The sequence below is a fragment of the Homo sapiens genome, chromosome 13, assembly GCF_000001405.40.
Source record: "Homo sapiens chromosome 13, GRCh38.p14 Primary Assembly".
Lineage (NCBI taxonomy): Eukaryota > Metazoa > Chordata > Mammalia > Primates > Hominidae > Homo > Homo sapiens.
The window spans coordinates 57655785-57671393 of NC_000013.11; the positions used below are offsets into that span (position 1 = coordinate 57655785).

The following is a 15609-nucleotide window of genomic DNA, read 5'->3' on the forward strand; positions in this document are numbered from 1 at the left end:
AGAAGTACAGATTCTTTCAAAGAACCATCTTGGTATTAAGGGGGATAGTAGTTCTAGTTTTATTTATTATGTAACAGTAATTGTAAAAAAATTTTCAAGGAAAGTTACATTAATTTCTCATCAACTTATTTCCAAAAATATTGGAATGGTTCATTATTTTTCTCCATTATCTCAGAGAGGCAGTACAGCAACCGACTGGTGCTGGCAGGCTCTGGCAAGTGTCATTGTTCTATAATAAATTGGGTATATGATGGACAAATCTATGAAAGTCACTTAGCTACAGTTTCTTTGTTTGAAAAAAAATGTAAACAATGCCTCCACTTTATCTCCTAGGGCAATTGAGAAGAATGAATAATAAACATCACTACAGTAATACTGTTTTGTAGATCCTAATACAAGACACTGTACTCCAAATCTCCCAGTGCAGAATTTAATTAGTGACATTATAAACATGCATTTAGACTCAATGCATTATAGTTTCCAAGCATGTCCATAGTAGCTAAATAAATTAGGCTAAAAACCAGCTTGATCATAAAAATTTAATTTGTAAAAATGTATTTTCGCTTATTAGCAGGTTTCTTAAATTTAATTATATCTAATTTTAAGAAAATGTATCTACCATAAGACTCAGAATTCTTAGCAATAATAAGTAATATCACCAATTTATCTTCCTTTCTTTATTCTCTTCCTTTGTCTTTATATACCGAGAATATTAGAAGAAGCTATTTCAGAAATGTAATGAATTTTCACTGGCCACATATAACCTTTGAATTCTTCGTCCTGGAGGCCCTATTGCAGAGAATCCAGTTTTAGATATTTCTTTCAGTGGGAAAAGTCTTCAGTATTCTTAACAGAGATGGAAAAAGAGCACGGGAGGAAGAAAGCAGAGGAATGTCTCCAGAGATAAGTCTGGCTGAGAGATAGCAAAAAACAGAAAAGAACTTCAAATTTACTCCTACACTGCCTCTGGAATAAAAAGGGAAGACTAAGTTTTGAATAGGGCTGAGATGAAGAGGCTGACAACACAGAAGAGAATGGGTGATTTGAGGATGTTGGAGTTAGCAGTCTTTAAGTATGTTTTAATTTCTGTCCTCATGGCACATCCAGTATTTAGTGGCATCTCAGTTGGCCCTGGGATTCGCAATACAGCAAATATATAACAGGAATGTATGGCAGTCTCTATTTTATGCGCTTTCATAGATAACAAATAGCGCTCATCTTAATTTAATTTTAACTTTTTGATAATCTCAGTTTTCTTTGTTCTTGTCAAAGATAACTTTTTTCGAGATTCATAAATTACATAATTAAATGCTGGCACATCAGTTATTATTAAAGTTATCAATGTCATTTCAAAGAGTTAGCATTTGCAAGAGATCTTAATATATACCCAGATTACTTTAAGAAAAAAATCTAAGTCATCCTCATTGAGCAGCAGACTTAAAAATTCTTACTTACAGGATGTGGCTGTTCCTGTCCTCTCATTTTTAATTTAAAGGAATGCTGGTTTTTGCTCAATATTGTAAGAATACCCAATGTTTTTATTACGCCTTTAGTAGCAAAACACAAATGTCAACCACACTATACTTGTATAAAATGTATTATTTTGAAAACCACTGATAAATACAGTTATTGCCATACTTCATACACTTTAAAAATTCCACAGCCATAGGTGCTGTCAGATAACTTTATGAGTGGTGGCTTAAAATGCCGTTGCCTACTTCAGCAATGTAGAAAGAACCACACCATATATTCTGTGGAAGGCAAAGCTATCAGAAGCAATGTCGGTACGAAAAGGCTTAAAGTGAATTATTCACCTCTTAACACTCCCTTGTGTTCAGTCTACTGCAAACAGAATGCTTGTTATCAATGTGAAAAGCAGTGGCTTTGAATTAAGGCAAAAATTTGTTTTGTTTAGTTTTCAACGCAATGGTATCAAGGTAGACAAACAAACTTCTGTCCCTAATTCAAGGGTATTTTTCAAAATTTTATTTCTGTGTACCCCTGGATTAGGAAAACACTGAAAATATAAATTTGGCTGATTTTATAATTATACGATTTAACACCATATCTAGAATCATTTATTTTTAGACAAAATGTTGTTCTGTTCACTACACATCCAACCCCAAATTAGATTTTAAGAGCTGAGTTGCTCTCTTAATGACTTCAAAAAGTCAAAGACATACTTACAATTATTCTAGATTAATACACCTAGAATTAAAAATGTCTTCGTCTTTATATTTCAAACAGTGGAAGATCACTTTGTATTTGAAATACGTATCTTTATAATATATTTAAAATGTATAAAAATAATGTTGACACAAACATATAAAGCCTATACAGATAATGCAAAAAATAAATTTAAGTATTATCTATTTAGATTATTGAGGCAAATGTTTCTAGAACTTGCTGAAAAAATGCTACATCTTTTCTTCCTTAGTCTCTAATCTGCTTCCAGTCCCATCCAGTGTGTGTATTTTTACTTTAAAATACTACAGCTTTTATTTTTAGATGTTTCGTTTGAATCTTTTTTTATATCTTCTATTTCTCTCTTTCAGGATCAAAATTAACGTGAGGCAAGGGAGGTAGTTAAGGCACAAGATTTAAGGAGACACTCTCCACGTCCTGCTTTTACATTCCTGAACATATTTTTAATATTTCTGATCGATTTTTAAAGGTCCTATTAGTTAATCCTATCATCACTCATCCCTGAGTCTGTTTTTATTGATTTTTCTCCCAGGTCTAGGTTATATTTTCCTGGCTTATTGCATGCCCTGTAATTCCTGATTGAATCTTGGATATTGTGAATCTTACATTGTTGATGCTGGATTTGGGACTGCCTATGTTCTGAGCTAAATGTACATCTGTGAAATGAATGCATCCATTGGGCTGAGTGGTAGACTCTGACTTAAAGGTCTCCAGTTTGGTAAAGAGATAGAGAAAGCCAAGAGGACTTCAAGAATGCTAACGGGTTTTTCGTTTGTTTGTTTTGTTTTGTTTTGTTTTGTTTTGTTTTGAGGCGGATTCTTGCTGTGTCGCCCAGGCTGGAGTGCAATGGTGCAATCTCTGCTCACCTCAACCTCCGCCTCCTGGGTGCAAGCGATTCCCCTGCCTCAGCCGCCATCTCTACTAAAATTACAAAAGAATGCTAGCAGTTTATAATCCATTGCCTCCTGTGTCTCCGCACCAATCATTCTGGAAATGTCAGAGTTCTATGGTGTGTCAGAATTGTTCCTTTCATAGGAAATTTCCTGAATATCTCATGACTCTATCTATAATGGGTAGCATAATATTGGCTAATTAGCACCAAGGTTATTTATATTGTGTGTGTGTGTGTGTGTGTGTGTGTGTATACACACACACTCACATATATAATTATCAGAGTATGTGTAAATTAATCCCAGATTGAATTCTAGCAGCATTTACTTAAATGGTATGTTTGATGGTGAAAAACTGACCATAGAATACAGTTTCCTACTGCTCACATTATTCTTCTCTTCCTTTTGCAGGGATACATTTGAAGACTAGTGTTCTGATTTTTTTCTTAGAAATTCATTAGAAATTAGACTTAAAATAATGAGGTCTTTATTTTTCTCATCCCACAGGTGTCTAATTTTATAGAAATCCAAGTGTTGCATTAAAATTTACCATACACTCATCCAGTTACCATTATTTCATATCATTACTGTGCTGCACAATTTAAAAATTAAAAACTTATAATGAGAATTGTATTATAAACTAAGAAATTTGCATACATTATCTCGTATAAACTTAAAACCCCACATTTTGAATACTCTTATATTATCTTAATTTTGCTGCCAAAATTGTAAAATTATTTTGACAATATTTTGCATACATTTTGGTACATTTCAGAGGCTAACCGTTTTGTATTACATGTTTTTTAAGTTTTTACAAAGTATGGTGTTAACTTACTTCTAAAGGTAGAAACAGTTTTATGAGCCATTTTGAAAATTAAAACAATTCACCGTTTCTGAAGACAGAGCCCAGTCCTCCACGATCTAGCCATGTTTCTTTCCTGTGTTCAAAAGAGAAGCTACTACTTTGCAACAAGTGCAGTTTGAAATTTTTATGTAAAGTATTTATTTTATGGCTGGGTAAATCAGAGATACACACAAGAAAAAAATTCTTTGGAAGAAATAAAATTTGAAGGCTGGGTTCGGTGGCTTATGCCTGTAATCTTAGCACTTTGGGAGGCCGAGTCGGGTGGATCCTTTGAGCTCATGAGTTCGAGTTCGAGACTAGGGCAACTTGGCAAAACCCCGTCTATACTAAAGAAGAAAAAAGAAAAAAGAAAGATAGCCGCCATGTTGGCGCACCCTTGTAGTTCCAATTACTTGCGCGGCTGAGGCAGGAAGATCATTTGAACCTGGGAGGTTCAGGCTGCAGTGAGCCACGATCACCCCACTGCACTCCAGCCTGATGACAAAATGAGACCCTGTCTCAAAAAATAAAATTAAATAAATTTGAGCTATGGATCTGTTGCTTGGATTTGATGGTGTGATTAAATAGATATTTATATCCAAATTCATTTGTATTCTGTCCAAATAAATATTAAATATCTACATAGGTTTCAGAAATTGGCTCAGTATCATTTTAAAAGACAAGTTCAGAAACACTCTTTGTTGAGAATATTAAAAAAATAACTTTTATTATAATTATTTTATGAGACAGAAGAATCCTCAGCATATATGTGATGCAGATAATCATATTAGGTATATTTTGGTATTACCATTTGCTTTTAAAATTAATTACAGTAATGTGAACCTTTTTTGAGGTGTATAGTTCTATGACTGTTCATACATGTGTAGTTTCATGAAACAAGCAAGATACTGAACAGTTCTATCACTTTAAAAGCTTCCTTATGCTATCTCTCTCTATCATACTTTCCCTCACCTTTCACCCCTAGCAACCACGGATTTGTTCTGTGCCATAATAGCTTTGCCTTTTTTAAATGACTAGTCTTATAAATTGAATGATACAGTATGCAATTTTTAAAGATTGACTTTTTTCACTCAACATAAAGCTTTTGAGATTCATTCGGGTTGTTACAACAGTAGTCCATTTTTTCATTGCTAAATGGTATTTTATTACACTTATGTATGAATATGTATGATGGTCTGTCTGTTCACCTTTTGAAAGATACCTAGGCTGATTCCAGTTTGGGGCAAACATACAGAATTTTGTGTGAACATACTTTTCATTTTTTTAGGGTATATCCCTAGAAGTAGGATTGCTGGGTCATATGATAGATTTATGTTTGACGTAAGAAATGGCCAGGTTGTTTTCCAGGGTAGGTGTACCATTTTGCATTTTCACCTAAATTTATGAGAATTCCAGTTGTTCCACATCCTCATCAGCATTAGTATTGTTAAGTTTTTAAATTTCATATAATCTAATAAATATATAGTGTCATTTTATTGTAATTGTGATTTTCATTTTCCTAATTGCAGCTTATAGTAAATCTCTCTTCATGTGCTTTTGTACCATCAATATATTCTATATGATTTAGTGTTAAGCCTTTCAAGTGTTTGTTTGTTTGTTTGTTTTCTTAGTTTTGACAGTTCGTTATACAGTCTGCATGCAACATTATAGATGTTCTCTCAAGGGCTGTAGCTTGTTTTTAAATTCTCTTAACAGTTTCTTTGCAAAATCAACATTTCTAATTTCATAAACTCCAACTTTTTCTTCTGTGGATCATGCTTTGATATTGTCTAACCACTGTGTAGTGCCCTTTCACAAAGATTTTCTGCTAAGTTTTCTACTGAATATTTTTAGTTTTACGATTTACATTTAGGTCTATGTTCCATGTTTGAGGGAGAGAAAGAGAGAGAGAGAAAAAGAGAATGTGTATGTGTATGTGTGTGTGTCTAATGTGTAAGGTATAGATCAAGGTTCATTTCTACTGAATTATATATTGAATCGTCTTTTCAACTTTGTTAAACATCAACTGTTCATATTTGTGTGGGTCTGCTTCTGGACAGTCTTCTGTTCCATTGTCATATGTATTCACTCGTTTGGCAATACTGCAGTCTTCATTAGTGTGGCTTCAATAGTAAGTCTTTTTGTTGTTGTCGTTGTTTTTTGAGACAGAGTCTCACTCTGTTGCTCAATCTGGAGTGCAGATTGAGCTCACTGAAACCTCCGCCTCCTGGATTCAAGCGATTCTCGTGCCTCAGCCACCCAAGTAGCTGGGATTACAGGCATGTGCCTTGAAACCCAGTTAATTTTTGTATTTTTCTTTTAGTAGACAAGGGATTTTTCACCATGTTGACCAGGCTGGTCTCGAACTCCTGGCCTCAAGTGATCCACCCACCTTACCCTCCCAAAGTACTGGGATTACAGGCATGAGCCACCATACTGGGCCCAACAGTAAGTCTTAAAAGAGAGTAGTGTAATTTCTTCAGAAATTGATTTATCTTTTAAAAAATTGTTTTGGCTATTATAGTTCATCTCCTATCACATATTAATTTAAGAATCATCTTGTTTAAATACACAGAAAATTTTTCTGAGAATTTGCATGGAATTATGTTACATGCATACATTATTTGGGGATCCAAATTGTCTTCCAATCCATAAACATATATCTCTCCATTTATTTAGGCCCTTTAAATTTATTTCATTTTTTTATAATGTTCAGCATACAGATCCTATACATTTTAAAAAATATTTGTTGAACAATTAATTGATAGGCGCTATTATAAGTGTATTGTTTTTACTCCTCTCAGAGGAACTTAAGGACATGTAAGTGGCCATATCAAAATAACCTACTTCCACAAACAGAGAGCTTTCCTAGTCTCAGCTAGCATGACTCAGTTTCACTACATGCTTTCTTTTGACCTTTTTCAGACAAGTTTTTTAAGAATTACAATAATTTGAATCAGACATCAAGTTGTAGAAGATTGCATATCCTTAGGAATAGTTTATTACTGAATATTGCTGATAAAAATGTTGATTTTTAATATCATTTATAAATGTACCACAGTTTGCTGATCACTAGTAAAGAAAAAAGACAAATAATCAGAGAATTCATATTCTGCCAACTTTATCCACTCTGTTTGCTTGCTTGCTCACTTGTTTATTTTCCTGTTTATTTTCTCCACAAAGGAAAGTAAAGAATATCTAATTTTTTATTACCTTTAACACACAAAGAAAGAAAACGAAAAAGATAGGAGAGTACATTCAGTATGATGTTAGTTCACATCTGTTTTGTTATGATCAAATAATCACTTTTTTTAAAAAAGTGATTTTTTTGTCTCATGTATTATTGATTTTTTGTAGATTTTTAAATAGATCATCATATAGTTTTTAAAATACCTACTTGAAAACATTTATGTAGCTACCCACCAATTGTAGGTACATGTGATATTTTTAATGATAAACAAATCATCATGTTTATATATTTATCATATAAAAGTCACTGTGTTCAAGTTGAGTTTGAAGAGAACACTAGTGATTAGTTTGCATGAAAGATAAGGTTTTCAAGCATTGTAAATATTCGTGTTTAATTACTCTGCTGAGTCCTAAAATGTACAAATGTCTGACCTCAAATTCTACCCTCTTCCAAGACTTAAAATTTATGAATTATAAATGGAAAAGGTAAAACTCAATTTTTAGAGTATAGTGTTGTAAAATATCTGAATACTCTTATACTTCTAATTAAATGGTGCTGTCATACATATGGCTTTTTTCTCTATTTTTCATTTTTCTATGCAAATACTGTTATTTTATATTCAGATTATTTTAAATGAATTTTCAGAGACCCTTGGAGTCTAGATAATGAAAATGTAGTCAATTAGTTATATGTTTGTTAAAGGCCAAATGGCTATTACGTTATGGTAATTATACACACACACAATCTCTCATTCCTATCTACTTTAATCAATGAGTTCAGACATTATTAGTAAACTTCTGATACTCTGCTAGTGATTGAATTGCAAACTTTTAAAATTGTACTTTGTGAAATTCTATAATTAGAAACCAACTTCTTTTTTCTACATTTCTTTTCACTCCTCTCACCCTGCTTCCTCCTCGTTCCTGTATCTTTTCATTTCTCTCTCCCACTTTCTTTCTCTGTGCTTTTCTCTTGCTATTCCTCAGATTTCTGTTTGTTTGTTTATTTATTTTTGTTTTTGAGACAGGTTGACCAGGCTGGAGTGCAGTGGTGCTGTCACAGCTCACTGTAGCCTCGACATCCTGGGCTCAAGTGATTCTCAGTCTCAGCCTCCTGAGCAGCTGGGACAGGTGGGCGCCACCACACCTGGCTAATTTTATTACTATTTTTATCAAGATGGGGTCTCAATACATTGACAGGGCTGGTCTCGAACTCCTGAGCTCAAGTGATCCTCCTGCCTCCACCTCCCAAAGTGCTGGGATTACTGGCATGAGACACTCCACCTGGCCTTTCTTTGGCTTTCCTATTTTCTCTTGTTCTCTCCCAAACACCGTTCTTTTCTCCTTTCCTCTTGTTTTTCTATCTTCATCAGACCAATATTTGGCTGCAGTACCGTTGCCCAGAGTTCATCAAATGCTCATGCATAAATACATGTGTGTGTACATATAATTTTAATAGCTCTTCATTCAATGGAAATATGATTTCATTTCTTAGCTTATGTTTCTTATTTAATTAGAAATGCTTAGAACTTTAATAATATGCAAATATTTCTAGATACTGTTCCTATCAGGACAAGAGAAAAAAAGTTTCCCCAGACTATTTCCTTGTGTCTAAACGAATAGGGATCCACATCCTATGAGGCTCCACTTAATTAAAACCATTAAAATCACAAGACTACTTATAATAGTGCTTACATTTTTTAACTAGAGTTTCTGATTTCACAGTAAATTTTATTGTCTCTTTAATAACCTGGATTTTGTTTTCTTGAAGTGTTCTAAAACACTTATTTTTAGCTTTCAACTGACAGCAATAATGGAATAGATACATGTGTTTGATCAATTCAAAGGATGAACTAGTTTTTATTAAATTAAAATGTGAAGTGACTAAGTAATTATAGTTTAAAAATTTTTCAAAATATTTTTGGAAACATTTTTGCCACTGGTGTTGACTACTGCTATTAACTTTACTAGAAAATCAAGTTATCCTTAAAAACTGATATTTTGTCATTATGGAAACAAAAAGTAAGATGCTTCACTGAATCTAGAAATTACTACAATATATAAATAGAAAGTGTCTGCTACCAACTGCTAGTAAAAGACGGTTAGGAGTGAGCAATGAATCCACCTTTTTCACTTCATCTTTGCATGTACTTTGACATGCAGGTGAGTGAAGTTTTCCAATGCTTCACTTCATCTTTGCGTGTACTTTGATAAATGTCATTTGGACAAACCAAAAAAGGTTATATATTAAGAAATTTGTGGGGGGGGTTTCTGTCCCCAAACTTGACAATGACACATATTACTTTAAACTATCATTCTTTAATGATATCAAATAAACTATCATTCTTTAATGTATCAATACTTTATATTACTTATCAATACTTTAAACTATCATTCTTAATATGCCTTTTTCTTTTTTCAGTAATCGCTCACAAATTCAAATGCTTTATATTATTATATGGGAAGAAGAAAAAAAGAATATCTTATTTTAAATTAGCCTTATTAATAAGGAAAGCACATATTGCACTACATTAAGTCTTACCTTGGGCCCTCTGTTTCATGAATTGCATGATCCCTGTGTCACTGATACTTGTGTGCTGGATAATCTTGTAGGAACCCATAGCTGCTTCAGAGTATAATGCCGTGATATGAAGTGATGCAGGAAACAGGAGAAGCTTTGTCACTGAGTCAGCTGCAAGAAGAAGTAATGTGTATGAATGTACAGTATAGGGAAATCTATGAAAGATCCAGTCTCTTTCTCCCAAAAGACTCTGTTCCATGATACAAGGAGAATTCAGTTCTTTTTGGCAGACCTCCATGTCAGTTTGGAAGCAGTAAAAACAACCGCAAAAACAAGCCTGGTTTCTCAATGTCTTTATGCTCACGTTTTAAGTAACATTTTTTTCTCTCTTATTTTTGTTTTGCTTTGTTTTTAATAACTAGGAAGTAAAATAGAAATCCATTCCGACTGGATTGTTTGAACATAATTTCCATAGTTGGGTTGTAGCTGAGAATGAATTATAGCAATGAGTTCAACCATATGTGAGATGCTTGTATCCATTACTGGCAAAATTGGAAGGAAAGGCCCTGCATCTCTTAATTGAGGAGTGGATGACTTTAAATGATATTACATCAAGAAACACATAGAATCCCAGTAGATGATGTAATTATGTTTAAAAATGAGTATTATTAAATAATTCACACTTTTAATATGGAGAAATTAGGTTATTTTCCCACTCCTCCCACAAATATTCAATCTTAATATCTAAGTAATGAAACAACACAGCCAGTGTTATCCATCCTGGTACTAAAAGAGAATGCCAGTTATGACAGGCTCATTGTTTACTTTAACAGGTAATTTGTGGACCGGAATCATTTAATTGTTCTGAGTACATAATTACATGTCAGCAATTTCCAATTTAATTAAAATGTACAAATCTGAAGATTAAGGGAATTTTTGAATTATTAATCATTTTTCCACTAGGAAATCTTGTTGCTCTGCAGGAGATTTGTCCAGTGTACAACTATACGTATTTTTTTCCTTCTCTTTCACAGACAGACAATTTTCCCGCAGAGCCCAATTACATGGGCAGCAGGCAGCAGTTTGTTCAAAGGTAAGGCCTATTAAATAACTTTTCTCAGCTTCCCCATTTGCATTCGTGTCAAAATTGCTTTGCAAGAGACTACACTTCAGATTCAAACTAGTAGAGACAACACTTTCTCTTCTTTTTCTTTATATGTATTTCAGTAGCTCCACGTTTAAGGACCCAGAAAGAGCCAGCCTGAGAGACAGTGGGCACGGGGACAGTGATCAGGCTGACAGTGACCAAGACACTAACAAAGGCTCCTGCTGTGACATGTCTGTTAGGGAGGCACTCAAGATGAAAACTACTTCAACTAAAAGCCAACCACTTGAACAAGGTGAGTGAAGTCTTCCAATGCTTACAAAGTGTAAAGCTTAAGCAGTCATTATAAACCTATTAGATCTAGAGTTGCAGTTTATCACAGTGGAATGGACCATTTATAATATATCAAAGAAACAGCAAATCTTGAGGTTGCCCCAGAAAAAAAGCAACCATTGAATAACACAGTCAAAAACGAAAAACGAAGGCCCTGGGTATCATTCATTAATCCTAAAACAAGAACTTGACCAAAGTCACTTGATTGTTCTTATTTCATAGACATTTCCCACCCTTTCCTATTTGGGGTTATACTAACAAGGAAAATATGGCATATATTAGCTAGATATGTATATTTATGAATTTACAGTATAAAAATTAGTAAATTCAACACTTTTTAGATAAAATGAAATCATTGGAATTTTATAGCTCTTAGCAGTGCTTGTTGATTTATTTTTTGTTTGGATTTTAGCTTCAAAATAGTTTTTCAAGAGTCATAGGTAAACCAGAGTTTTGGCTTTCTTTTGATTTACATCTAAGGCTTCATGAATATCAAATGGGTAATAAAGCAATGTGTCTTAAATACATATATTTTTGTAAAATTTTATCTCTAATTTATTCATCTCATGACTTTTTATTAATTTTAATGTTTTTGTTGTTTCAAATACAATAAAATGTTTGCTAATGATTCATCCAAAGTAAATTAAATTACTCTTATGTATAAGACTAAAAACTGTGAATAGGTTTTTTATGTCCTATTGTAAAAAGTGAAAAGAACTGTAGTTGATATAGTAACAGTCTTCAGAACATTAGTAGTATGTAAATATATTTAGACTTATTATTTCAGTTGTTTTGAATGAGAAACTACATTTAAAATATGTGAACCTAACCTCTAAGTCATTTACTGATTAATGATTTATAGAAAGTTAATTTTTGCCTGTAGGGCAGCCTGTTCTATTATATATATACCTCAACAGATACAGTGTTAAGTTTTCTAGTCGTTAAAATGTTTAATGCAAATATTAATATACCCATATATATAAGTATATACATATATGTTTATATATACTTATTTATATATATTTTTTAAAACAAAATTAATATATATTCAGTTTAAATATATATTAATATTTTTGGAATAAATATAATTATGCTGAATTTATTTTAAGGTTGACCTCAGAAAAAGCTGTTTTCTAAGTAGTAATTGCTAGACCGATGACTTTTTTCACGATCTTTTACCATAGCAACTTTCTGTGTTAATAGTGCAATATTGTTTTAAAAATTATTTTTAACAAAAGCAATGTGAATCCTTATTTATTATTCCCATTTTCTGAAAATTTATATGTTTACTTGACGTGACTTAAATGGTCATGATGGGTTGTAGCTCTGTGATTTTATAAAACATATGAATCTTTGAGATACATTTTCAATAATGGCTTGTTGAAACTTGATATGTAAATACACTGCATGAGATAGACCCATCTATGTGAATGACACATAAAATGATTGATAGATAATTGATTGGCTACTACTTATGAAAATGCCTAAAGTAAGTGAAGAGTTTTTTGTATCTTTATGAGAAACTCTGTTAATTTTTTAAAAAGAGAGCAAACCAACAAAAACAGCAACAAGAAAAAACTGCTGTTCACATTAACTGTTTAATTTCATGCCAACCACTAACTTAGAAATGTATTTGACAGAAGTGAATTTTATGTATATTCTCTTATAGAGAAAGGAAGTGGTCTTATTTATTAAGTATGAAAATGCAATTTATACTAAAAAGCTATTTTTTCAATTTTGATATTGAAAATTGAAGTCTAGGGAAGGTGGCTATTATTATTTAAAAAATGCCAAAGATGGCATAAATTTTAAATAATATTGCGCAGGAAATAATTGCTAGTCTAAGAGTAAGAATGCCACACATCCCTATTAGTAAATACAGGAAAATTATTTTGAATCTAGAAGATACACTTAAATAATTTATGAATTATGTGTAAAAGACTGGCTTCCACTTTAAAGCATGATTTATATATATATATTTTTATTATACTTTAAGTTCTAGGGTACATGTGCACAACGTGCAGGTTTGTTACATATGTATGCAAGTGCCATGTTGGTGTGCTGTACCCATTAACTCGTCATTTACATTAGTTACATCTCCTAATGCTATCTCTCCCCGCTCCCCCCACCCCACAACAGGCCCCGTGTGTGATGTTCCCCTTCCTGTGTCCCAGTGTTCTCATTGTTCAATTCCCACCTATGAGTGAGAACATGCGGTGTTTGGTTTTTTGTCCTTTCGATAGTTTGCTGAGAATGATGGTTTCCAGCTTCATCCATGTCCCTACATTTTTTAAAGTTAGTTAAAATAATATTTCACTGATTGATTGATCCATTGATTTGATTTATTCATTCATTTAATAAATATCTAGTAAGTGCTTTGAATATGTAAGGAAACGTTAGATCATTCAGGAATGTCAAAAATGAATTTGAATTAGAGCCTGCCTTTAAGTAATCATATGGAACTAATTACAGATGGGTGATCTCTCTCTCTCTATTTCTCCCCTTCCCCCTCTTCATGTTCCCCTCCTTTGCTTTCTCTCCTCTCATCTTTCTGTGTCTTCTGTCCTCCTATATTTCTTTGTCTACTTCTCATCTATATATCTCTTTATCTATCTTTTTTGTCTATGTCAACTATTTTATCTATCTGTCAGTCTGTCTTTCAACTATCTATGTTTGTATCTGTTCATCTAGATTTAGAGGAGGAGACTACAATTTATTGAGTTCTTACCACTTACCATAAACAGTGCAAACAATTTCAACATTAGGTTGTTTAACCTGCAAACTCTAAAAAGTTTTTATTTTTATCTTACATATAAAAAATAAGCTAACTCGAAGTTTATTAACTGGCACAGCAGGTTGGAGTTTAATCCTAGGTCTGGATATGGCTCTAACTTTTCTATTTTCTACACAACCTTGTCTCCAAATGAGAGACTTTGCTCAAATAACCATTTTGACTCATTGCTATGAGAATATATTGAATAAACATCAGAGTAAGTAAAAACCAGTTAATGTGTGCAAACCAAGGGGGAGAAGATCAAAATATCTCATATGCATTGATTGAACTACTGTATTTTGTTCAGTACCTGAAACATATTACCCTATTTAATTCTCATGGCATTTATAGGTAGGAAAGTACTGTTACTCTCACATTCAGTAGATATTAAGTAACTATTAAGCAACTTTTTTTAATATTCTGTAGTTATAAGTAGTGAAGGCAGTATAGAAATTTAAAAAATACATTCAAAGCCTGCCCTTTCAAACAATGTTTTATGCTATTCACGTAATGAGTAGTTTACTCAGAAATAATGTTAAAATGTTAAACAAGCAAGCAGCTATTGTCTTGATCAATGTATTTATTTATTCTATTTGAAAAACATCATGAGAGAAAATTCCACAATTAAGTCAAGCACACATATAAATAACAACTTCCTTTATAGATGAGAGATGATGACAGCCATATCCAAATAATTATTTCATGTAGATTTCAAATATTAAACCCTAATTTTAATAGTTTCAAAATTACCCTAAAAAACAAAAGTAAATTTTCTCTTACGAGAAAAAACTAGAGCTAAATGAAAGGAGATGTGTTTCTCAGTCTTTTTCTCTTACTAAAAATGTGTAGCAGTGCCTTACACAGATTTCAATTAAAATTCAGTAGCATATTATATTTTATATTTTTATATTAGAATATAATTTAAAAATATATATATTTTTTCCAATTTAAATGATCTCATTTTAGAAAAATAATGTTTTATATTTAAATTGAAATATTTCTTTAATTTAGAAATGAAAATCAATTTCAAAAATAATCTTCACATTTTCAATACTTTCTTTGTTAATAATGGTTTTCCTTTGGAAATGACTTAGGCCTTTTGAGATTTTATTTTATTAGCTCAAATATTACTTTCTCATCTTCTGTGCAGTGAAATTTTTTCTATTTGTTCCGTTCCTGATATTTGTGTATTTTTGCTACCATTAGTTTAATTCCAAATACATCGCAAAAGTAATGTATTGCCCACTATTTTGGCAAAATAATTTAAAAGAATTCAGCAGCTAATTGAAGGTGTGATGTACTGTACTAGAGCTGAAGACAGCTTTAAGGATGTAATGTTAATAAACCCGTTAGTAGAAAGAGGTTATTTTTTCTTTTAGTGTGATGGGAAAAAAATCAAAGAATGTATCTAGTTTCTTTCCATTTTATTGCATGTTTGTGCCCTAGTTTTCAAATAGTTAATTAGATTTTCTCCATACCCCCCTTTCATCCTTTATAAAATATAGTAGGTAGGAAGGTAGATTAAAAAATTCCAAATATTTTGGAAGTTGTATAGTACCATAATAGGATATTACTTAATAAAAAGGTAAATATGTATTTTTACCTAATAAATTATTGTTTATTTTAAAAATGGGAAAAGAAAACCATGGAATATTGAGAAAAATATATCTGATCCTTTTTTTTAATGATTTTATATTTTGGAAGAAGATAAACTGATTTATATCAAGACCTAATGAAAATAAATATAGT

General features: G+C 32.1%; 1 protein-coding gene across 4 annotated transcripts in view; it reads left to right on the forward strand.

Moving 5' to 3' along the window:
- The window catches only part of PCDH17 (protocadherin 17), a 99204-nt gene that overhangs the window by 25677 nt on the left and 57918 nt on the right, over window positions 1–15609 (forward strand). For 3 of the 4 annotated variants that reach the window (XM_005266357.3, NM_001040429.3, XM_017020547.2), the window contains 2 exons: window positions 10684–10742; window positions 10877–11049. In XM_005266357.3, the coding sequence (XP_005266414.1) occupies window positions 10684–10742; window positions 10877–11049 (232 nt within the window). The remainder of the gene's footprint in view (window positions 1–10683; window positions 10743–10876; window positions 11050–15609) is intronic. The other variant, XM_047430276.1, reaches the window with a different exon arrangement.